At 50.3% G+C, this 24,433-nt stretch overlaps 1 protein-coding gene across 2 annotated transcripts, besides 4 other annotated features; it reads right to left on the bottom strand.

Annotated features, from left to right (window-relative positions):
* Positions 1-504: 504 nt before the first annotated feature.
* SESN2 (sestrin 2) lies at positions 505-23,478 on the bottom strand. Of its 2 annotated transcripts, NM_031459.5 has the most exons (10): positions 23,059-23,478; positions 13,748-13,813; positions 11,125-11,322; positions 10,530-10,712; positions 10,203-10,415; positions 9,488-9,638; positions 8,838-8,956; positions 7,981-8,171; positions 3,755-3,899; positions 505-2,280 (listed from the first exon to the last, which is right to left on the bottom strand). In NM_031459.5, exons 1-10 carry the CDS (start codon positions 23,146-23,148, stop codon positions 2,194-2,196), a joined length of 1,443 nt encoding a protein of 480 aa, NP_113647.1. In that variant the 5' UTR covers positions 23,149-23,478; the 3' UTR covers positions 505-2,193. The 2 variants fall into 2 exon arrangements, with proteins under 2 accessions (NP_113647.1, XP_047287475.1); XM_047431519.1 differs by lacking the exons at positions 505-2,280; positions 3,755-3,899; positions 9,488-9,638.
* Positions 22,568-22,627: a silencer, noted in NCBI's record as "silent region_537". NCBI's record gives its function as "represses an Ori minimal core promoter by ATAC-STARR-seq in GM12878 lymphoblastoid cells {active_cell/tissue: GM12878}" and the evidence as "EXISTENCE:reporter gene assay evidence [ECO:0000049][PMID:35858748]".
* Positions 22,887-23,735: an enhancer, noted in NCBI's record as "NANOG-H3K27ac-H3K4me1 hESC enhancer chr1:28585772-28586620 (GRCh37/hg19 assembly coordinates)". NCBI's record gives its function as "activates a minimal SCP1, AML or CMV promoter by ChIP-STARR-seq in naive and primed H9 embryonic stem cells {active_cell/tissue: H9 hESC(naive and primed)}" and the evidence as "EXISTENCE:reporter gene assay evidence [ECO:0000049][PMID:30033119]".
* Positions 23,408-23,617: a silencer, noted in NCBI's record as "silent region_536". NCBI's record gives its function as "represses an Ori minimal core promoter by ATAC-STARR-seq in GM12878 lymphoblastoid cells {active_cell/tissue: GM12878}" and the evidence as "EXISTENCE:reporter gene assay evidence [ECO:0000049][PMID:35858748]".
* Positions 23,728-23,907: an enhancer, noted in NCBI's record as "active region_594". NCBI's record gives its function as "activates an Ori minimal core promoter by ATAC-STARR-seq in GM12878 lymphoblastoid cells {active_cell/tissue: GM12878}" and the evidence as "EXISTENCE:reporter gene assay evidence [ECO:0000049][PMID:35858748]".

Here is a 24,433-nt window from a genome sequence, read left to right as displayed (position 1 = left end):
TGTGGTGGGGTTGGGGACACAAGGGGGTCCTTCCAGATTCAAACAGCCTCTTTGTCACAGGGGAAGTCCAGTAGTGGGCAAAACAGCAAGGTAAAATGTCAAGGCCTCAGGGTCAAGCAGAGCAGGGGGGAATCCTGGCTCCCCCACCGATTAGCCATGTGGCCTCAACAACGTCAGTTCACCCGTCTCAATTCTCCTACAGGATTGCTGCAAATTCAGAGGAATGGTCTCCAAGTACCCAGCCCATGGCCAGGCTTAGAAAAACACCATGGTCATTATTACTCCACAGTGCCAGGGCAGCCGCAGAAGGGTGACAGGACTGGATGTCCAAGGGACAAGTAGACTTTCAGTGCCAACAGTCCCAACCTACAATCACTGGGCACAAGTTCTCGGCAGGGCAGGGGCTATCAGGTCAGGCCCATGATGCAATCACAGCTCTCTGCCTATGCTACAAGGTGAACCATGACCTTCAGGAAATTGAAAGAACAGCCCATAAAAAGGGAGTATGAAACAAAACCTCAGCGAACGTTTATTTCTCATCATATGGAACTGGTAGCAAAGCCAAAGATTTCTGCACTTGAACACTGGATACCACTCCCTACCCACCCAGTGAACATTTACAGTCATCACATGCCCTCTAGAACCCAGATCCCCATGCCGGGGCCTCTTCTCTCCTGCACACCTTCTTGCAGGGAGGGCTTTCAGGCCGGAAGGGGGTGCCGGTTGCTTCTCCGCGCCTGCACGGGTATTTAATGTGGCACACTGGCCAGGCTCCTCTCCTGCCCCGCCCAGCAGCAGCACGGCCCTTGCCTTTCTTCAGTGCCCTCCAAACTGGTCAGAGAGGAGGCACAGACTGCTAGAAGAAGGGCAAGAGAAGTCGTAATTCACAGTCATTTGCTACAGAAAGTGCCTGGAATCGGTCCTTGGCTGCTTCTGCCTGGAAGCAACCCACTTAAGCCCCAGGAGAGGGGACAGATGAGATACTGGGATGGGGGTGGGAGTCCTCAGAAGGCACCCAGGAGACACTGGCTGCAGAAATGGGGTCCCTGATCTTGCAAGAAAATCCGCTTGCTGTTGGCAGGTTGGCCTGAGAATCCCAGGGGCAGCTTCAGACATTGTGGGGACTCAGACCCACCCTCTCAGTCTGCAGCTGTGGCAGTCAGAGGTTTGGCAATGTAGCCATGGTCACCTGGCCATGGCCCAGGGGCAGGGTCCAAACAAGAACCCTGGTGCCTCCCGCCCCTCCTGCTGAGCCATGGTGCCACCTAAGCCATCTAGAAAGGCTCAACTTTTTGGGAGACATCTGCGGCAGGGCCACTGGAGGCAGGAGAGTGGGGTGCTGGCCTCTGCGAGGCAGGTGCAGCTCTGGGAGAACAGAATTCTCCCTCTCCTCCTCCTCTCACACACTGTGGCTCCAGGTTGGAACCTCAAGCATAAAGGACCAAAATAAAGAGGATTTATAATCTAATACTCCCTCCTCTTCAGAAGGCAATGTGACCAGCAAAGGCTCAAACTCTCTAGAGATAATCTGCTTTTTTTTTTTTTATGTACTTGGCCTCTCTCCTGACGCCTCACACCATTAAGCATGGAGAAAAGGGAAAAAGGGCAAAGGAAGTCAAAAAACTGAACTAGGATTCGGGCAACAGCCTCAGGCTGCCCAACAGAACAGGCTTTTAGGGAACTGGACACACAGACCAGCTGTGACCCTGACTTTCACATTGATGGGTGAATGGCAAGTAGGAGGTAATGAAATCTGGAAATGACAGGGGAGAGAAGGCAAAGCTGCCTGGAGTGTCAGTCCCGGAGGCATTTGCCCCTCTCCCCCGGGGGCCAGCCAGGGACTTCCCAGTTCAGGAAGGCCACAACACTTGTGGCACATTAATTCCGAGCTTGGCCCGGCTTCTTTCCTGTGCCCTCTGCCTCTGTGGGCAGGGGAAGGAGGAAGGGTGTGGTCCCTTAGGATCTCCAAGTGCTCTTCCAGCTCCCAGGAGCAGGGCTGAGATCCCAGAGTCAGTGCAATGAACTGTCCATTCCAGTGAGGAAAAGGGAGGGTGTGGCTTCGGGACTGCACATCACACACAAGCCCACTGCAGCGTGGGGAGGGTGGGCATGGGACACAAAAGGGTCTGGGGCTGTCTCCAGACAGAGAAGTCCTTGTGGGGAGCTGAACCGGGCCCAGGTCCTGCTCAGGAGTCAGGTCATGTAGCGGGTGATGGCACGGAGGGCGTACAGCAGAGCGGCTTGCATGCGCGCCTCCAGGAGCAGCAAGTTCACGTGGACCTGGGGCACAGAGGAAGGCATGTTGGCAACTGATGTCACTCCTCACCCCCACACCCCTCCCAGACTGCCTTGATCCCTGACCCACTTACCTCACCATTTCCTTTCCTACAGAGCTGCCCCAGCATCTGCTAAGGCTCTGAGCAGTTTAGTACAAGGACAAGCACATTCATTCCTATCATGACTAAGCTCTGTATTCCCTAAAGGTAAAATGGCCAGGTGCGGTGGCTCACGCCTGTAATCCCAACACTTTGGGAGGCCAAGGCGAGTGGATCAGGAGGTCAGGAGTTCGAGACCAGCCTGGCCAACATAGTGAAACCCCATCTCTACTAAAAATACAAAAAGTTAGCTGGGCATGGTGGTGGATGCCTGTAATCCCAGCTACTTGGAAAGCTGAGGCAGGAGAATTACTTGAACCCGGGAGACAGAGGTTGCAGAGGTTTATGTACATTTTTTTATTTTATCTTCCCAGCAACCTTGAAATACAGCAGTATTTATTCCCATTATAAAAATGAAATCCCAGCTACTTGGGAGGCTGAGGTGAGAGGATCACTTGAGTCCAGAAGTTCAAATACAGCCTGGACAATATAGTGTGACCCCATCACAAAAACAAAAAACTTTGAGAGGCTGAGGCAGGAGGATCATTTGAACTCAGGAGGTTGAGACCAGGATGGACAACACAGTGAGACCTTATCTCTACTAGGAATTTAAAAAATCAGGTGGTGTGTACCTCAGGCCCTCTGGGGGCTGAGTTGGGAGGACACTTGAGCCTAGGAAGTGGAGGCTGCAGCGAGCCGAAATCACACCGCTGCGCTCCAGCCTGGGCAACAGAGCAAGACTCTGTCTCAAAAAAAAAACAGGATAAAAAGCTCAGAGAGGCCAGGCACGATGACTCACACCTGTAATCTCAGCACTTTGGAAGTCCGAGACAGGTGGATCACAAGGTCAGATCAAGACCATCCTGGCTAACACAGTGAAACCCCGTCTCTACTAAAAATACAAAAAATTAGCTGGGGATGGTGGCACACGCCTGTAGTCCCAGCTACTCAGGAGGCTGAGGCAGGAGAATCGCTTGAACTTGGGAGGTGGAAGTTGCAGTGAGCCAAGATCGTGCCACTGCACTCCAGCCTGGGCAACAAAGGGAGACTCATCTCAAAAAAAAAAACAAAAAAACTCAGCGAGATAATGTGACTTGCCGAAAGTCACACTGCTATCAAGAGATAGTGTTATGATTTGAACCCAGGTCCACCAAGCTACCACTAATGTGAAGCAGGCACCCTCATTCCCATTTTACAGGTGAGTAAACAGACTCTGAAATCACACAGTGGAATAGGACTTCAATCCAGAGGAATAGGCCCAGGTGTCCCACCTAGCAGGACAGACTCAGTCTGGGGACTCTCACTGGGTCCTAACCCCTTGCCCTCTCCACTGGCTTGGCCTGTCTACTTCCATCCTGCCCTGCCTGTATAGGTCATACCTTCTCTGAGTGGCGGAAGTGCCTCCAGAAGAGGTTGTACATTCTTCGGGTGGTCTTCTCTGGGTAGCAGGCCACTGTCTTGATATAGACCTTGAGGTTCCGCTCCAGGAGCTGGTTCACCTCCCCATAATCATAGTCATCATATCTGGATGGAAAGGTCCCAGCAGCATTACTCATGCTTTCTTCCCAAAGGCAGCTCCCTCCCCGCAACCCCACCCTACAGAGGGAAGAACAGAGTGTTGAGAAAAATCAGAAGGTAGAAGCAACAAGAAGCCTAGTTCCTCTTGGAGAAACAGCTGATATCGTGTTATCACAGGCCGCCACATTGGCAGGGGACCACGTCAAGGAATGCAGAGAATGAGCATGCTGTATTGAATACCAACTATGTGCCATGTGGAATCCTCAAAACTACTCTACACTACTGTGTACATGACTGGATGGTGTATGCAATCTGCTACATTCATCAACCCCATGTTATAGATGAGGAAACTGAGATTTAGAGAAAGGAAGTCACTTGCCCTAGTTAATACAGCAAGGAATGGTCTTTGTTTTTGTTTTTTCATGATCAACAAGGCAGTTTTATTTAAAGGAGGAGATATAACTTGATTTCAGAGTTGCAGAAAGCTTAGCTCACATTTTTTTACATTAATTTCAGTATGTTTTTGTTTTTCTTTTGAGACGGAGTCTCGCTCTGTTGCACAGGCTGGAGTGCAATGGCGTGATCTCGGCTCACCGCAACCTCAGCCTCCTGAGTTCAAGCAATTCTCCTGCCTCAGCCTCCTGAGTAGCTGGGATTACAGGTACATGCCACTGTGCCCGGCTAATTTTTGTATTTTTAGTAGAGATGGGGTTTCACCATGTTGGTCAGGCTGGTCTCGAACTCCTGACCTCATGATCCGCCTGCCTCAGCCTCCCAAAGTGCTGGGATTACAGGCGTGAGCCACCACGCCTGGACAGGAATGGGTTTTAAACCCAGCTCTGCCTAGCTCAGGGGCCATAACCACTACTCTGTAGTAAAGGCCATGGAAGGTAGAGGAGGAGGTCAGTGGAGGAGAAGGAAGAGGATAAGGGTAAAAAGGTGCTTGTACTCATTCTACAAATGGGCAACCTAAGCCCTGGAGAAGATGACTAACTTCTTCAAAGCCAAAAAGCAAGTTGATGATGAGTCTAGAAGCCACTTAGTTATCCCCAGTCTAGTGAGTGAGGGGAGCCAATGTCAAAACAGATCAGTGTAGACAGAGGAATGACTGGCTGGAAACTGGAGGGCAGATTTGGAAGACAAAGAAATAGGAGCAAGAACCATGTTGGAGAGCAGAGAAGCCTGGACCTGAGGGCTGGGCGGAAACCAGCCCAACTCACATTCTAAGAAGCCTGTCCTTGGCCAGCCATGGGTTGGAAACCTACTAGTGACTAGAGTAAGAGGATGGTTCATTAAGTATAGCTCAACCCATTCAGTGAAATATGATTTACAGCTAGTAATACACAGAAACACAAACTTTCTACAAGGAGCACGTACCTTTTTTAAAATTGGGGGATAATTTTTTGGTGTTTGGTATAAACTGTTAAGTGAGAAAGGCAGGAAAAAAAATCATGGGTTCACTAAAACATGCTCATGTTTGAGTAAATGAATAAAACAACTGAAATGAATAGGTAAGGAAATGGCAACTGATCTTGTTTTTGTAAATTATATATGCTTTGGTTACTTGTGCATAGAAAAAAAGAAAGGTGCCAGGTGTGGTGGCTCCCGCCTATAATCCCAACACTTTGGGAGGCTGAGGCGAGCGGATAGCTTGAGGTGAGGAGTTCCAGACCAGCCTGTCCAACATGGTGAAACACCATCTCTACTAAAAATGCAAAAATTAGCTGGGCATGGTGGCACCCACCTATAGTTCCAGCTACTAAGAAGGATGAGGCAGAAGGATCAGGCAGAAGGATCACCTGAGCTCAGGAGCTGGAGGTTGCAGTGAGCTGAGATCACTCCACTCTACTCCAGCCTGGGTGACAGAGCAAGACTCTGTCTCAAAAAAAAAAAAAAAGCCAGGCGCAGTGGCTCACGCCTGTGATCCCAGCTCTTTGGGAGGCCAAGGTGGGCGGATCATGAGGTCAGGAGATCAAGACCATCCTGGCTACCAGGCTGAAACCCCATCTCTGCTAAAAATACAAAAAACTACCTGGGCATGGTGGCATGTGCCTGTAATCCCAGGTACTCAGGAGGCTGAGGCAGGGAGAATTGCTTGAACCTGGGAGGCGGAGGTTGCAGTGAGCAGAGATTGAGCCACTGCACTCCAGCCTGGGCAACAGAGCGAGACTCCGTCTCAAAAATAAAGAAATAAATAAATAAATTAAAAAAAAAAAAAAAAAAAGGCTGGGCGCAGTGTCTCATGCCTGTAACCCCAGCACTTTGGGAGGCTGAGGCGGGCAGATCACCTGAGGTGAGAAGTTTGAGACCAGCCTGGCCAACATGGAGAAATCTCATCTCTACTAAAAATACAAAATTAGCTGGGCGTGGTGGCACATGCTGGTAATCCCAGCTATTCGGACGGCTGAGGCGGGAGAATCCCTCGAATCCGGGAGGCGGAGGTTGCAGTGAGCTGAGATCACCCCATTGCACTCCAGCCTAGGCAACAAGATTGAAACTCTGTCTCAAAAAAAAAAAAAAAAAAAAAAAAAAGGAAAGAAAAAGACAGGAAGGAGATAACTGATAATAATAACAGCAGATAGTATAATGGATAATTTTTTTTAAATTTTATTTTGTATTTTTTTAGTGAAGGGTCTCGCTGTGTGGCCCAGGCTGGAGTGCAGTGGTGCATTCATGGCTCACTATAGCCTTGAGCTCTTGGGCACAAGTGATCCTCCTGTCTCAGCCTCTAGAATACCTGGGACTATAGGCATGCACCACCACACTCAGCTAATTTTTATTTTTTTGTAGAGATGGGTCTTAATTATGTTGTCCAGGCTGAGGCACAAACTCCTGGCCTCATGTAATCCTCCTGCTTCAGCCTCCCAAAGTGCTGGGATTGCAGGTGTGAGCCACTGCACCCAGCCTTTATTTTCTTTTTTGTTATCTGTATTTTTCAATTTTATTTATTTATTTTGAGATAGCGTCTTGCTCTGTTGCCCAGGCTGGAGCACAGTGGTATGATCTCAGCTCACTGCAACCTCTGCCTCCCAGGCTCAAGGGATCCTCCTGCCTCAGCTTCCTAAGTAGCTGGAACTACAGGCGTCAGCCACCATGCCTGGCTAATTTTTGTTATTTTTCATAGATATGGGGTTTCACCATGTAGCTCAGGTTGGTCTCGAACTCCTGGACTCCAGTGATGCCACCACACAGGCAAATTTTTTAATTTTTTGTAGAGATGGGGGTCTCACTATGTTGCCCAAGCTCGTCTTGAACTCCTGGTCTCAAGCAATCTTTTCACATTGCCATCCCAAAGTGCTGGGATTACAGGCATGAGCCACCGCGCCTGGCCTCTATTGTAATTTTTTTTTTGAGACAGAGTCTTGCTCTGTCACCCAGGCTGGAGTGCAGTGGCACGATCCCAGCTCACTTCAGCCTCCGCCTCCCCGGTTCAAGCGATTCTCCTGCCTCAGCCTCTTGAGTAGCTGGGATTACAAATGTCTACCACCACACCCAGCTAATTTTTTTATTTTTAGTAGAACGGGGTTTCACCATGTTGGTCAGGCTGGTCTCGAACTCCTAACCTCATGATCCGCCCGCCTCGGCCTCCCAAAGTGCTGGGATTACAGGCATGAGCCACTGCGCCCAGCCTATTGTAATTTTTAACAGCTGCATAGTATTTCACTGAATAGACGTATCATTATTTAAAGTCCCCTACTGAGCATTTATGTTGTCCTTATTTATTATGGGAGAATTACTACTCAGAATGGAAATACAAACATAACTCTCTCTACATATATATATAGTGTGTGTGTGTGTGTGTGTGTATGCATGTATATGTGTATATATGTGTGAGTATGTGTGTGTGTGTATATATATGTACATAAATATCAAACAATAATTATCTCTGGGAGTGCAATTAAAGAGTTTCATTTACAACGTTCAAACAATGAGTACTGTCATCTTTTAAAATCACAATTTGCTTTGAAAAACAGTATAGGCAAGAAGAAAGGAAAAGAAAAAAACAAAAAGAAAATGGAAACAACTGTGAACCCAGAGTGAAGACTTACAGTGCACACATGCCCCAAATGAAGGGATATGAGCTCACCTGATGCCAAAGACGCAGTGGATATAGTTCCAGATGGCCCTGCGGAGCACGGAGGTGTCCACACCACTGTGCATGGCGATGGTATTGTAGGTGAGGCTATAGGCTGCCTGGAACTTCTCATCCAGCAGCTGCCCACCCTCAGGGTAAAGCCGCTGGATCAGCGAGTAGCCATGGTCTTCCCAGGTATAATCCTTAGGTAGGTGGGAAGGGATTGGTGAGTCTTTGGAGCCCAAGACCAGCCAGAGAGACCCCCATCCTCTGGACCTGGGATCTCCATGATTCTCCTTCCTGGTGCCATAAACCTAACGTGCTGCTTGCTCTGGGCCTGAGAGGTCAAGGAAGGTATACTTTGGTGATGACCTTCTCCTTATGATCAGCAACCCCTGAGCTTAGGGTATAGATGGGTCCCTTAAGGATTCACAGGGACCCCACTGCCCTCGTGGAATCTTGAGGGAAATAACGTACCCAACTCTGTTTTTTTTTTTTTGAGACAGGATCTTGCTGTCACCCAGGCTGGAGCGCAGTAGCGCGATCACAGCTCACTGCAGCCTTGATCTCCCAGCTCAAGTGATCCTCCCACCTCAGCCATTCAAGTAGCTGGGACTACAGGCATGCGCCACCTTCCAGTTAATTTTTTAAATGTTTTTGTAGAGACAGGGTTTCGCCATGTTGCCCAGGCTAGTCTCAAGCTCCTGGGCTCAAGCAATCCTCCCACCTTGGCTTCCCAAAGTGCTGGGATTACAGGTGTGAGCTACCATGCCCAGCTGGGTACCTAACTCTGTAACTACTCAAACTATCCACCCACTGCTTGTTCGTAAATGTGGAGCAATGGCCAAGACTAGTAGAGAGAGCCCTACCTGGGCCCGGAAGGTAGGGGGTGCCTGAGCCCCTCTCCGAGTGAAGTCCTCATATCCGAAAGTAGGGTCTTCCACAAAGCACAGCATGTCTGGGTGTGGAGAGGGCTCCAGGATGTCAGCTGAGGACCAGAAAGAGGTCACAGTGAGGCTGAGGCATGGGGCATGCAGGGGTCCATTCCTGATTAATCACCAAAAGGGGGAGGGGAAGGCAGAATAGAGGGCCAAAAAAAGCCCCTTGCTATAGTGAGTGGGGCAAGATTTCAGCTGGAGCCAGGCCTTGGGGAGGGGGTGGATCAGGCCCATGGACCCATGAAGCGAGGCCCCTGGTAACAACAATAGTGGCAGTTATTTATGGAGCGGTTCCCCCTGGGCCAGGCTCTGCGCTAAGATCTTTGCTTCTACTGCCCCACTAACCCTACACAGCAATCCTGAAGCCCTGAGCTAGGAAGTGACTCGTCAGTGGTCGCACAGCCGGAAAGGCTAGCAGCCCAGGATTCAAAGCCAGGTCTGAGCCCAAGGCCCATGCTCAGAACCTCTTGGACGGGAGGTTGAGAAGTGGCTGCCTCTGGAATGCAGGAGGTGGCTCCTCCTCACCAGAGATAGCCTAAGAAGGAGCAGCCACGGGAGCCTGGATGCCTGTGACCCTGTACCTGAGGGGGTCACCAGCAGGCTCTCTGACTTCTCCAGCTCAAAGCGGCTCTCCATCTCCTCCTGGGACGTCCCCTCATCCCGCAGCAGGCTCTCCTGCAGCTGCTGCATGCGCTCCATCAGCGCCTCCACGTCGCGGGCAGACTCAAAGCCCTGCAGGAGAGGCCCCGTGGTGACCAGCTACTCCTCCTCCTTCAGCCTCTGGGAAGCTCCACTCATCCTTCCCAGAGGCCAGGCCTTCCTAATGCTCACAAAGGCCCAGGGCATCCTCTGTGCCAGCCACTGTGCTGGACAGCACATGGGGTCTGTGCTTCCTAAAGTGACGTTTACAAAGCTACAGAATAGACACATCTTCCCTGAGCAGGAATTTTTAAAGTATCTGTATTTTTGTATTGAAACATACAAGGCCACATTACAGAGTAAAAGGTAAACTTTGTAGTTTTAAAGTGCTAAAACCAACAGGCTTTGAGCCTATGGCATATACACAGTGTCAGTCACATGGTATTTCATTTAACCCTCACAGCCCAGTGTGAGTAGAGGGTCTTTATCTCCCCATTTCACAGATGAGGAAACTAAGCTTCAAAGTCAAATAACTTTTCTATGGTCTCTCATAGCAGCAGGTAGTGCAGATACGAGATTGGGAAGCAGTAGCTTCTACCTAAGGACCAGAGGTCATGCCCGCTTCCTCCCCGATCAAGACCCAGGCCCGTGACTTACCCCAGAGTTGTTCAACGGGTCCCTGCTTGGGGGGCTGCTCTGTTCACTAGGGGGTGTAGGTGCCTGGGGGGCAGGGCTGCCATCTGCATCCCCCTCAGGGAGGATGCCACAGCCAAACACGAAGGAGGAGAGCGAGTGGCAGTGGGTGAGCAGGACCAGAGCCTGAATGAGCTCGGCCAGGGACCAAGTGTGCTCGCCGGTCTTCAGCAAGGCCTGGAAGGGACAAGGGGGGAGGTCAGAGCTGCTCAGTGCCTGCCCTGGGTTACCCACCAGGCACCAGCCAGGCCTCTGTGCTCCCTCAGACACCCGCCTCTCTGCCCCCTGCACCTGGATGTGTTCCTTGGTGATGAGCCATGGCCGATGCGCCAGCAACTTGTTGATCTCGCTGAGTTTGCGCAGCTTCTCGGGGGCCCGGTGGAGGCCCAGCAGCCACTCAGGGTCACCACCAGTCTGCAGAAACTCGGCCATGTGGGAGCCTACCAGGTAAGAACACTGATGGCGGGCGGCAGCCTGCGGAGGTAGTGGACACAGCCTGAGTCACCCTCCTCCTTTTGTGCCTGGCTCAGGGTGGGTACCCCATCAGGGGAGAGGTTGTAGGGCTCACTGTTCCCCAAGAGGCAGGAAATCTAAGTTCTAAGTAACCCCAGCTCTGCCACCAGCTTGCAGGCCACCTGATTCCTTTTTGCACCTCAGTTTGCCAATCTGTACCTAACACAAGCACTAACGATGCCTTTCTTCAAAACCTAAAATTTTCCTTCTGAGAAAAAATAAAAACAAAAAACCCAAAACTCTACAGTTAGATAAAGCCAGGGCTTTCCCTGCTTGTCTATGGAATCAGCTCACAAAGCTCCCAGAAAAGAGATCAAAGGACAGAACCCACCACAAAGCCACCTCTCCAAGTGTCAGGCCCAGAGAGGCTCACCATGATGGCAATGTAGTGGCGCCAGGAGCTGGCCAAGGGACCATCCGTGTGCAGCAGCAGGTAGTGCAGGCGCCAGAAGCTGGTAAAGTAGTCAGGGTGCAGGCCCATCACCACTGCCAGGTTGTCTACTCGCCCAGAGGACATCAGTGCCTCCAGCCCCAGGTGCTGCTCGAGGCTCTCAGCCCCCTCCCGAAGGACCTGCCAACCAAAGGGGAGGAGAGCATGGGTTTCCCTCCTGCCCCACTCATCAAAGAGACCAATGTATTCTTCCAGTGGGTTTTTAATGGCAAGAAACTAAAAACCACCACCGTGTCCAAAAAGAAAGAATGGGGAGGATCACATATTTTAATAAGTGATTCAATAAATACTTATTAGGTACCTTATATAATAATGGCCAGTACTTACACATACAATGCTATGTGCCAAGCACTGTTCAAGAATGCATATTTTAACTTATTTAACTCTCACAACAACTATAAAACTGGAGTTCTGTTTCTCCACTTTTAGGTAGGAAAAATCAGGCACAGAGAGTAAAAGTACAGTTTCTCCTCCCTTCATGGAGTGTCTATTCTAACACTGCAAATGCATATAACCATGGGGGCGGGTGCAAAATAGTTCACATTTCCTGAGTGCTGTCTCCATGCCATCCCTGAGCTTACAGTTTTCTCCGCGTGATTTCATGGGATCTAGCCAATAAGCCTGTGAGGTGAATACTATTATTTCCCCCACTTTGCCAGATGAGGAAACCAGGAAGTTTTCTTCCTTGCTCAAAGTCACAGATCTGATAAATAACAGAAGCAGATTCAAATCCAGATGAACTCCAAAGCCTATTTCTTTTTAACTTTTTTTTTTAATACAGACGGGGTCCCACTATGTTGTCCAGGCTGGTCTCGAACTCCTGGGCTCAAGTGATCCCCAAACCTTGGCCTCCCAAAGTGCTGGGATTACAGGCATGAGCTACTGTGCCTGGCTGCCTGTTTCTTCTCTTTATTATAAAAGAGTGGGCTGGGCACGGTGGCTCACATCTGTAATCCCAGCACATTGGGAGGCAGAGATGGGCAGATCACCTAAGGTCCGGAGTTTGAGACCAGCCTGACCAACATGGAGAAACCCCATCTCTGCTAATACAAAATTAGCTGGGCGTGGTGGCTCATGCCTGTAATCCCAGCTACTCGGGAGGCTTGAGGCAGGAGAATTGCTTGAACCTGGGAGGCAGAGGTTGCGGTGAGCCAAGATCGTGCCATTGCACTCCAGCCTGGGCAACAAGAACAAAACTTCGTTTCAAAAAAAAAAAAGGTGGTCACTTATAAATGAAAAAATAAAAGACAAGAGCAATACTTGAGCTTAGAATTCTGGGTCACAGACATAAATAATCGGCAAGTGGTTGTTCGCCTTATATTTACAAAGGAGTAGAGGAACAAGGGGTTTAGAAGGAGGGTAAATGTTTGTTAGCTCCTTAACCACTCGCCCTACACATTTAGGAAAAGCAAAGAGAGGAAACAAATTTTTTTTTTTTTTTTTGAGACGGAGTCTCACTCTGTCACGCAAGCTGGAGTGCAGTGGCGCGATCTCGGCTCACTGCAAGCTCCGCCTCCCGGGTTCATGCCATTCTCCTGCCTCAGCCTCCAGAGTAGCTGGGATTACAGGCGCCCGCCACCACGCCTGGCTAATTTTTTGTATTTTTAGTAGAGACGGTGCTTCACCGTGTTAGCCAGGATGGTCTCGATCTCCTGACCTCGTGATCCGCCCGCCTCGGCCTCCCAAAGTGTTGGGATTACAGGCGTGAGCCACTGCGGCCGGCAAAACAAAAAATTTGTCCTTGTTCACTGATGGCCAAATAAAATGAGGAAACTAGTTTTACATTTTTCTGCATGTTTTGAAGGTAACTCCACTATCCCAACACACTAGAATGTAAGCTCCATAATGGCAAATATTTTTGTCTGTCTTGTTCACTACTATATCCCAAGCAACCAGAACAGTGCCTGACATAGATTAATCATTTAATAGATATGTTAAGTAAATGAATGAATGAACTGACTCAGTAGATGAAAGATGTCTTTCTTGTATTAAGTGAAAAACAAAACAAAAAAACACGTTGTAAACTATGACCTTGGTTCTGTACTGAAAGTAAGTATTGGCTTGAAAAAAGCACAGTAAACAGTGGCAAATGGTTAACAGTGATGATCTCTGCAGGGTGCAGGAGGATACAGGAGATCAGAGCTTTCTGAAACAATGGAAATTTTTAAAATAATAAACATATATTACTTTTAAAACAGAAAAGAGCGTGTAATATATGTATGGTCATGGATGAGATAGATAGTTCTATCTTCTTAAGGGAAAGCAGGCACTGATCTAGGAATCAAAAGTTTGAGCATGAAAAAAAAAAAAAGTTTGGCCACTACCTGGCTATTAGCACTTGATTTCTTTGAGCCTGTTTCTTCCCAGTAAAATGGAGTTGACAGTGCCTGCTTCACAAAGCCGTTTTGTGAATTAAATGAATCAGAAATCAGAAAGGAATAGCTTAAAAGCTGCAATTTAAAGAACAGGAAAAGATGCCTGCCTACCAATATGCCATGTCCTTTCTTCCCAGGGACCAAAGATCCCTAACCCCTTCCAAGCTTACCTCCTCCACGGGGATGAAGGCGCTGGGCCCTCGAGGGCCTCGCCGAGCCCGGCTCTCCCTCTGCTCCTGGGAGGAAACATATGAGGTTAGTCCGTAGTAGAAGGGAGAATAAAGAGGATTATTACCTATCCAGCCTCTTCCTCCTATCCAAGGGGCTACACTGAAGTGTTAAACCCACCTTTCTAGCATACTTTGGATGGTGGAGCCAGATGGGAGATATACACATGTTTGGAAGGGTAATCAAGAAAGAGGGCTCACTCCAGGCTGAGTTCTTCAGGAACTGGGTTGGGACCCAAGAATCCCAGCATTGCGGGATGGGAGGGTCCTGGAAAAGGAACTATATAGCCATCATGCTGCACATCTCCAGGAGGCCACCTTCTTAGTGGTCCCAGAGAACTTATACAAGAACACACCACAGTTTGCACCCTGAAGCCAGGTAACCAAGTACCCCAGATGCTTCAGAAGCAGCTTCAATTTCTCTCACATGTTCGTTCGTTCCTTCCTTCCTTCCTTTCTTCCTCCTCCTCCTCCTTCTTCCTTCCTTCCTTCCTTCTCCTTCCTTCTTTTGCTTCTTTTTTTTTTTGAGACGGAGTATCGCTCTTGTTGCCCAGGCTGGAGTGCAATGGTGCGATCTCAGCTCATTGCAACCTCTGCCTCCTGGGTTCAAGCGATTCTCCTGCCTCAGCCTCCCGAGTAGCTGGGATTACAGGCATGCACAACCACGCTCACCTAATTTTATATTTTTAGTAGAAACTGGGTTTCTCCATGTTGGCCAGGCTGGTCTCGAATCCCCAACCTCAGGTGATCCGCCCACCTCAGCCTCCCAAAGTGCTGGGATTACTGGAATGAGCCACCACGCCTGGCCTCTTCTTTAGTGGTGCAGTCATAGCTCACTATAGCCTCAAACTGCTGGGCTCAATGGATCCTCCTGCCTTGGCCTCCCAAAGCACTGGGATTACAGATGGGAGTCACCATGCCTGGCTGCTTATCTGTCCTCCCACCACCACCACCTCATTAACTACCACCCCCTCTTGTCTGGACCACTACTCACAACCTCGCCAGTTGTCCCCCGGCCTCCTTAGCCCTGGCCTCTCCTATCCATCCTCTACCCAGTAGCCACATTAACTTTCTGAATATAAATCCGATCAACTGGCTTAAAACCCTACCTCCCCCTCCCATGGGCTTCCAGATACAACTGGCCCAGTCCCAGTGGTCACTCCTTTTGCAAAGCTAAACCACAATAGTCTAGGAACCTTTTTCTGGCCCTCACCTATGACCCCAAAATTCCCAGGGCTTTTGCTTCTAAAAACACTGTCATCAAATTGTCTGTTTTGTTTCCCTGACACCAGATCACATTTAGTGGAGAGCAGCGCCAGGTCATTCATACTAGTCTGTGAATGAAGACAGAGAAAGCAGAAAGGCACGGAGGGAATCTGAGCAGGGTGTACAAGGCTGATGGGAGCAACTGTTTTGACCTGTTATATGCTGCAGCCTCTTTAGAAACCACTAATATCAGGTACTCACTACATCTGCTTCTCCTAGTCCTAGAGATGGGGTTCAGGAAGGATGCTCTACTTATTAATTTATTTTGTTAATCTGAGAGTGGAGGTGGCTCTCAGCACTGGTCTTGTTTACAGTTTACCCAAATCAGAGCCATGCTCTCACTGGACAGGGATAGGAGGCGCCCAGTTCTCCCCTTCCCATTAAGATCCAGACTTAGTACCAGCCCTCAGGTATCCGGGAACCAAAAACTATAATTGAACCTTCCTTCTCAGATGGCCAAAAGCCCACTGAGGAGGCAGAGCTCTGGGACTCCAGAAGACTACAAAGTCTCTGGAATAGGTACCAATTCTGCAACTAACTTGCTATGTGGCTCTGGGAAAGTTAAAGGCCTAAACTCTCTTTACCTACTAAACTGGTAGGTAAAGTAGCCCAGCTACCTTCAAAAAGGGAGTTGAGCTGACCGTGCAGGCCCCCTTCAGCCCACACTTCTGGGAACTTCCGGGCCAGGCTGGTCCAAGTTCAGCGTAGTAACCAACACAATCCCTGAGCACTCCCCTTTGGAGCTTCCCTCCCCCTCACCAAAGAAAAAGCCCAACAGCTCTGTATAGGAGATAAGGATTGCTGACTCCACAAACTGGGCCTCCACCTCAGGGGACCTGAGGACAGAATAGCAAGCCACAGCAGGGTAGGGTGGAGCAAAACTGGGGGAGGCAGAGACGGCCCATCAGGGGTGCTAGGGAAGGATAGGAATAGCCTTGGGAATCCCAACTCACTCCAAAATCTGACCCAGGAATTGTCAAAAGAAGGAGCTCTAAGTCATCGGTCTGGATCCATCAACACTTTCAGCAATAACAACAACAACAACAATATACAATGCAGTTAAAAGATAGGGGCCCTTGGCTGGCGCAGCAGCTCATCCCAGCACGTTGGGACACTGAGGCAAGAGGATCGCTTGAGGCCAGGAATTCGAGACCAGCCTGGGCAACACAGTGAGACCCCTGTCTCCACAAACAGTAAATTAGCTGGGCATGGTAGCACACAACCTGTAGTCCCAGCTACTCAGGAGGCTGAGGCAGGAGGACTGCCTGAGCCCAGGAGTTTGAGGTTACAGCAAGCTATGATCGCACCACGGCATTCCAGCCTGAGCAACAGGGCAAGACCCTGTCTCAAAAAAAAAAAAAAAAAAAAAGATGGGGCTCTTGACACAAATTGCATGAGCTCAAATGACAGCTCCACCACCTGCTATCCCTTAGCTTTATGAGCCTCAGTTTCTTTACCAAATAATGGGGATAGCAGTAACTACTTCCACTGGCCAGTGATGAGGATTTCATGAGATAACACTGTGTAGCTTACCTCAATACCTCCATAACAATAAGCACTTAATAAAAAGTCAGGTATCATTAACCTCCTTGCTGTATCAAACAAGGGCTTCTCAACCCAAGCGGTACATTAGAATCCTTTGAGAAGCTTTACAAAAATAACAATGCCAAGGTCCCACCTCCCGCAATTCTAATTTAGTTATCTGGGGTGGGGCCCCAGCATAACAGCCAGGGTGAGGACCATTGTTTACACCATTTATTGATCACTTTCTCAAGTATAAGGCACTATGCTAAGTGCTTTCTAGGTGGAAACAGAATTAATTTGTTCACTCAACAAATATTTTTGATGGCTATATTGCAAGCAGCAAGAATACAGCAGTGAAAAGACAAAGCCCTTGGCCTTCATATAATTCAGAATCTGATAAACAGGATTTCAAAGCACAGATTCTATAAAGTGAGTGAAATAAACAGTAACTGTATGATGGGGAGGGAGAGTGTGCAATATTTTAGTGTAAGTAGACAGGAGAAGCCATTGAGGAGGTGGTCTTTGAGCTGTTATCTAAATGATGAGAAGACAGCAAGGCCTGTAAAGATCTAGGGGGCCTAAGTGGGGTGGTTCACACCTGTAACCCCGGTACTTTGGAAGGCTTGGTGGTGGAGGATCACCTGAGGCTAGGAATTTGAGAACAGTCTGGACAACACAGCAGGACACCCTCTCTTAAAAAACAAACAGGCCGGGCGCAGTGGCTCACGCCTGAAATCCCAGCACTTTGAGAGGCCGAGGCAGGCGGATCACCAGAGGTTGGGAGTTCGAGACCAGCCTGACCAACATGGAGAAACCCCGTCTCTACTAAAAATACAAAAAATTAGCCAGGCATGGTGGTGCATGCCTGTAGTCCCAGCTACTCGGGGGGCTGAGGCAGGAGAATTGCTTGAACCCAGGAGGTGGAGGTTGTGGTGAGCTGAGATCGCACCATTGCACTCCAGCCTGGGCAACAAGAGTGAAACTCCGTCTCAAAACAAACAAACACACACCCCAAAAACTAGGGGGACCAGCATTCCAGCCAGAGGGAACGCGAGTATAAAGCCCTGAAGGCAAAACCAAGTAGATTTGAATCCATGGCTCCAATACCCTGAATGCTTCCCCGATCCTGACAGAGGAAGCAGGCAGGGCAGCATACCACTGCCAAGAAATGACCCCTCCAAGTCAGCCCTCCCTGCCCAATTCCCTGGACTGGGGAGTCAGTAATAACAATGGTGCATAACAAGGCTGGTTACCACTGGCTAAGCATTAATTTCACATGCACTACCTGGACTTTAGGGCAGAAGCTACTACTAGGGCTTCCATTTTACAGATGAGGAACAAGGCTCAGAGAGGTCAACTCACTTCTGGCTACTCAGGCAGGAAGGCAGTAGCAGGGCTGGGATACAACCCAGGTTTCTGCAAGTGCAGAAATGATTCCCCATTCTCTAAACTTCTCAAGGTCTCAATAGTCTCCAGGCTGCTGCATCTGGGACTCACCAAGAATGAGAAGCTCCAGTCACAGCACCTGTCACACTTGGGGGCACACACTGAATCTAGTTCTTTGTTGTTACCCCAGTGCCTAGCATAGCACAGTCCAACAGAATTTTCTGCGATGATGGAATGTTTTATATCTGTACTGTCCAAGAAATGTGAGTCTCTAGTCACTGTGGCTGAGCATTTGAAATGTGACAAATGCAACAAAAAATTTTCATTTTATTTAATTTTAATTTATCTAAATTTAAATAGCCACATGTAGTGAGGGGTTACCATATTGGATGGTACAGGTTCAGTAGACCTGATAAAGGCATGATTCCAGTTCCACGTAACAGAACAAGAAAAGTGCAACACAGAGGGGTCAGGTCACCTGTCCAAAATAACAGCTAGTGTGGGACAGAGGGAGAACCAGTGTTGGGTATTTTTATAATTTCAACTAAACAGATCACATGGGGCAACAGGAACACTAAAGTTAACCCTTTAGGTGGTCATTCAACATGAAGGTCTTCACACAAACTGTAAAAAGAGGATAATGGCCCCAGACCTGTGCCTGGCTCCTAATTTTTTCTTTTTTTTTCTTTTTTTCTTTGAGATGGAGTCTCGCTCTGTCACCCAGGCTGGAGTGCAGTTGCGTGATCTTGGCTCACTGCAACCTCCGCCTCCTGAGTTCAGGCAATTCTCCTGCCTCAGCCTCCTAAGTAGCTGGGAGTATAGGCATGCGCCACCAAGCCCGGCTAATTTTTGTATTTTTAGTAGAGACATAACCTGCTCACCTTGGCCTCCCAATATGCTGGGATTATGGGCGTTTGAGCCACCGTGCCTGGCCTTTTTTTTTTTTTTTTTTAAATAGAGATGAGGTCTCACTGTGTTGCCAAGGCTGGTCTCAAACTCCTGGGCTCAAGCGATCTTCCCACTTCAGCCTCCCAAAGTGCTGGGATTACAGGCATGAGCCACCATGCCTGGCATGGATCCTAATTTAAGCACTTACTATATGTTAACTTTTAAATTAGCTCAGGTACTTGCACACAGGTTCCATCTAATTTTCATCTGTTTTGGGGCGGCGGCAGAGTCTCTATTTTGCACACAAGACTAAGGGTTCAAAGGTTAGGCACCAGCTGACAAGTAGCCAATCTGAGATCTGAACCCACGGCTGCCTGGCTTCTAAGGTCCATTCCACTTCATAATAACAGCTTTGGGAAGCAGCCCCAGCCTTGGAGAGTTGAACCCAGCTCAGTCTGGCTTCCAAGGGTTCTGTCTACTACCCATATCGGCTTCTTGGAGAAGCCCCAGACTTTATTCTCGGTTACCCTATATTATCCTTTATAGAGCCTGTAAGTCCCTGGTCTCAGCTACAGACACCTGGTTACCCACTCTGCCAGCTGGGAAGGAACAGACACTATTTCTCCTTCCCTCACCCCCAGCTGAATTCAGATATTTTCCTGGGTTTATGCCTGAGAAGACGATACGGAAATACAGCCCAAGCAGCCCAGGACCTCCAGCCTTGGAGTGGGCAGGGTGGAGGGGGTGTGAGTGAGTGGTGCCATACACTTGTCTGCCCATCATGAGCTGGGAACCACGCTAAGTGCTTTACACATCTGATTGTGCCAATTCCTCCCAACCACCCAGAGGGAAACAGTTCTTATAATCCCTTCTTCGGAAACAGGTCAGAGAGGCTCAGAAAGGTCCTCTTCCAAATGGGCACAATTCAGATCTGACTCCACGGCTGGAATAGTTCACAAGGGTCAGCTAAGCCAGCAAGGGGCAACTAGTCACGAACACTTATTAGGTGCAAAGAGCAGTGCTGGGGATGAGACTTGCAGGGTATCTCCAGCAAGGGACTATTTCACATAATTGGGACCAAAGCTCCTACAATGGAGGGAATGGAGGAGGGTGTGCAAGGGGACTTATCTAGTGGGGGAGGAAGGGCTTCCCTGAAGAAGAAATGATGTCTGAGAAAGTTTGTTTTGTTTTGTTTTTTTTGAGACGGAGTCTCACTCTGTCACCCAGGCTGGAGTACAGTGAAGCGATCTCGGCTCACTGCAACCTCTGCCTCCCAGGTTCAAGCAATTCTCCTACCTCAGCCTCCGGAGTAGCTGGGAGTACAGGCGTGTGCCACCACGCAGGGTTAATTTTTTGTATTTTTAGTAGAGACGGGGTTTCACCGTATTAGCCAGAATGGTCTCAATCTCCTGACCTTGTGATCCACCTACCTCGGCCTCCCAAAGTGCTTGGATTACAGGTGCGAGCCACCGCGCCCAGCCTGGTTTTTTTTTTTTTTTTTTTTTTGAGACAGACTCTTGCTCTGTCACCCAGGCTGGAGTGCAGTGGCATGATCACAGTTCACTGCAACCTCCGCCTCCCAGGCTCAAGCAATCCTCCCACCTCAGCCTTCGAAGTAGCTGGCGCACACCACCACGCCTGGCTAACTTTTGTATATTTTGTAGAGACAGGGTTTCAGGCTGGTTTTGAACTCCTGGGCTCAAGCAATCCATCTGCCTCGGCCTCCCAAAGTGTTAGTATTACAGGCATGAGCCACTGCATCTGGCCGAGAAAGTTATTCGGGAGCCCAATACTACCAGTACTAGAGTGAAGCCCTTGGAACTTTCTGAAGATACACACATCTGAAGGCAATGAGCTCCTGAAAGGGAGTGTGTGGTGAAGTGACAGGGAGTTAAGGGAGCTGCACGCCTGGGTCTTCTCTTGGACCTCGGGCACCTGACTCAAAGATCAGCACCCTGCTGTCTTCTAAGGATGCCACCACTCAAAGCAGAAACCGTCCGAAGGTCCTCTTTTCTCGAGAGAGGAATACACAGAAATCTCCCAGATAGGCCAGGTGCGGTGGCTCATGCCGGTAATCTCAGCACTTTGGGAGGCCAAGGCAGGTGGATCACCTGAGGTTAGGAGTTCAAGATCAGCCTGGCCAACATGCTGAAACTCTGTTTCTACTGAAAATACAAAAATTAGCTGGGCATGGTGGCGGGTGCCTGTAATCCCAACTACTAGGGAGGCTGAGGCAGGAGAATTGCTTGAACCTGGGAGATGGAGGTTGCAGTGAGCTGAGATCGTGCCACTGCACTCCAGCCTGGGCAACAGAGCAAGACTCCATCTCAAAAAAAAAAAAAAAAAAAGATAAGAAAAAGAAACCTCCCAGATAGCAGCAGTTTTCTCCACTGAGGAAACATGGCTTCTGTGTAAAGATCCCTCCCTCAAAGCCTTTTCTCCCTAGACCAGGCACTGACCCAGAGAGGGGTGTACAGTGTCTGATCTCAGGAACAGGCTCAGGCACCCCCTTGTGAGACACTCTGGAGAAAGCTGTGCGTGCCATGGCCACGTTCTGATAATAGCAAGCAAGTATCACGCAGTTACTATGTTCCAGTCACAGTGCTTCAGCTTTTGCTTGTATTCTGAGTTAATTCTCCCAACAATCCCTTAGAGATACTGTAAAATCCCCATGGGAAGAAACCACAGATCAGAGAAGTGATTACTGGCTAAGCCACACACTGCAAGTTAGCAGGAGGGCTGGGACATGAACCCAGCACTCTTGCTCTCTAGTGTTCAGGTGTTCTCAATAGTAACATTATTTCCATCTTTCCAAAGAAGTCACACAGCTGAGAAGCTGCAGGAGAAGAGCCATTCCTCCACATGGCGCTCCTAAATCACGGCAGAGAAGGGTAAGCAAGCTAACAAAAACCAGGGCACAAACTATACACCGACGGAGGTAGGATCCCCAGAAACCACGTTACTAAGAGAAAAGCAGGGATTTTCCTGGGGTCATAGCACTCCACCAAATCCCAGGTCCAGAATACAACTTCCACCACACTCTAGGCCTGTAAACTAAAGCAACTAGAAGCTCCTAGTGCCGTGCAATCTCCGAAATCATAAGGCCAAAGAACAAGATATTCAGTGGGGTTAATGAAGAAAGCCTCTTTCTGAGCCCATCGTGGGCCTCAATGTTCTTCCTGTAAAATGGGGCTATAGCGTAGCTTGTATTGCTGGTTTAGTCCTGAGGACTTAGGTTAAAGGCGAAAAAAACTCAGAGCCTGGTATCTAGTAGGTGCATAATAAATGATAAGATGTCCATTATCGCTGCTGCTGGTAGTGGTGGGGGAGTGCGAACTGTCAGTCTGGTTAGGTCCAGCCTAATTCCCGGTCTCCCTGCAAAGCCCCTGCGGGCTATGCCGGGATGCGAATGCGGGGGGGTGGAGGGGAGCGGCGCGAAGGGAGGGTGGGGGAGGAATTTCTGGAAAACAAACTTCTGGGCCTTCAGACCACTTACTTAGCAGGGCGCAGCCTAACCCGCGCTTGGCTTCGGAAGCCGCGACCAGGGTTGTCCCCTCTCCCCCCAGCTTTGGCTGCCGCCGCCGCGTACCGGGCGGCCCGCCAAGCCCCCAGAGCCCCTGCGCTCTCCCTCCAAAGCAGGAGTGCGGTGGACATAGGATGAGGTCGACTTTCACTGGCCAGTCCCAGGTGCCTACGCCCCGCGCTGGGGGACAGGAGCCGGGAGGCACCCCAGGAAGGGTCCTCTGCCCGCCGGCCCCCGCGAAGAGGAAGGGACTCCGCGGAAGGGGGCGGGGAGGAGGAGTGGTCTGGCCGCTCCGGCCGGGATTTGCCTGGACTTGAAGACGCTCAGGAGCCCAAAGCTCGGAGAGCCTCCAGAAGGCTTCTCCCTCATTGGCCAGGAGTCCGAGGGAGCCGAGGAAGGATCCGCGGCCCTGGGGTGGGGCGGTGAGGGAGAGGGGGAGAGGGAGGGAGGAGGGGGAGAGGGAGGGGGAGAAGGAGGGAGAGGGGAGACAGAGTGGGGGAGGGGTGCCGAGGGCCGCGGCTGCCAGTTGATGCAACCCGGGTCCCGGGTTACGCGCTCGGCTTTCCCTCCCCGAGCCCAGGACACACCGACTCAGCTCCGGACAGCCTGAGGCTCAGACGCGGTTCGGGGTTCCAGGGAAGAGGGGCGTCGCGCGGCCGCCGCTTACCTCTCCGGGGCCCGAGTCGCCGACGCCGCCCGGGGCGAACCGCAGGTAGTCCTTGAGCTCTGCGCGGCACTCGGAGTCCGCCACGATCATGGTGCGCGCCAGGACCCGGTCGCGGCTCGCCGACGACCCGTGCACCCGAGTGGGTTTCGGAGGGACGCCCGAATGAAGCCGGGACTGGGCGCCGCCGGGGAGCTTCTAGAACCCCGGGGCGTCTCTCGGGGCTCCAGAACGCTCCGGAATCCGAGAACGGCCGCTTTGGTGCTGGACTCTTCCCCCAGTCGGGCTTCGGGAACGGCGAACGGCCTCGGGGGCCTGGGAAGGGCCGCAGCGCAGGGGTTTTCACGGCCTCGGAAGTCCGCAGGGGCCAGGGCTGCTCCCGGACCCAGCGCTCCTCAGCATCCCCGCCGCGGAACTGCCAGCGCTCGCCGGGCTCTGACACCAGCAGTTCAGCCCGCTGCGGTCCCCGGGGGAGGGCGGGGACACAAAAGCCCGGCGGTCCAGCCAATCAGAGGTCTGTTTCCCCGGGGAGGCGGGGGAAACTCCGCCCCCTGGAGTCACGGGCTCCGCCAATCAGCACCGGGGAGCGCCCGGAATTCTGGGAGTTGTAGTCCGCCTCGGGTGAATGCTGCAAACTTTTGCAAGACGGTTTAGTCAGATCCCTGGCAACACCAGACGGCAGTGACAGCCCTAAGAGTCATTAGGGTTGCGTGATGAAAAGGGACTTCACTGGGCTAGGCCAAACAGCCGAGTGTGAAATCTCCTAAATGAATTCTTCATCTTTTCAGTTCCTGGAGGGACTGGCTAGGGTTAAGAGAGGTTTGGCTCGCGTCCTATCCGGTGCTGCTAATTATAGAACTGAACCCCAGATATTTAGAGGTCAGAGGGCACAACCCTGCTCCCCCTGGCCTCGGGGAAGCTCCAAAGATGCGAGACACAGGGAATTCACCTTATTTGTGGAGCCTCAGGAAAAGCCTTCATTCCTTGAAATGTCATTGGTAACTTCGTGTGGAACCTCAATCCCTATTGCTGGAAGTTTTCTTCCTTCTGCTACCCGTCCTGGCTTCCACCCCTCCCACCCTCCTCGAAACTTTGTAACAAGGTGTTCTGCTGGATCTTTGCTCACCTCTCCCTCTGGCCTTCTCTGACTCCTCTTTCACCACCCACTTCCTAAAACGTGGGTGCTTCCCCAGTTTGTTTTTGCCCCTCTTCCCTCCAGACACTCTCCCTGATCTCATTCACTTCCTGGCCTTCAACTCGCCTCTTGCCAGAAAGTTGCCTCTACCAACACCTCAGCACCTCCAAGCTAAATTCATTTTCTATTCATTTCAAACGGAGCCTCTTCCTTCACAGTTTTCCTTCAGAGCTCCTTTTTTTG

The sequence above is a fragment of the Homo sapiens genome, chromosome 1 (genome assembly GCF_000001405.40).
Source record: "Homo sapiens chromosome 1, GRCh38.p14 Primary Assembly".
NCBI classification, from domain to species: Eukaryota; Metazoa; Chordata; class Mammalia; order Primates; family Hominidae; genus Homo; species Homo sapiens.
Note: the sequence above shows the minus strand (reverse complement) of the source record. Positions and strands in the feature narration are given on the sequence as shown.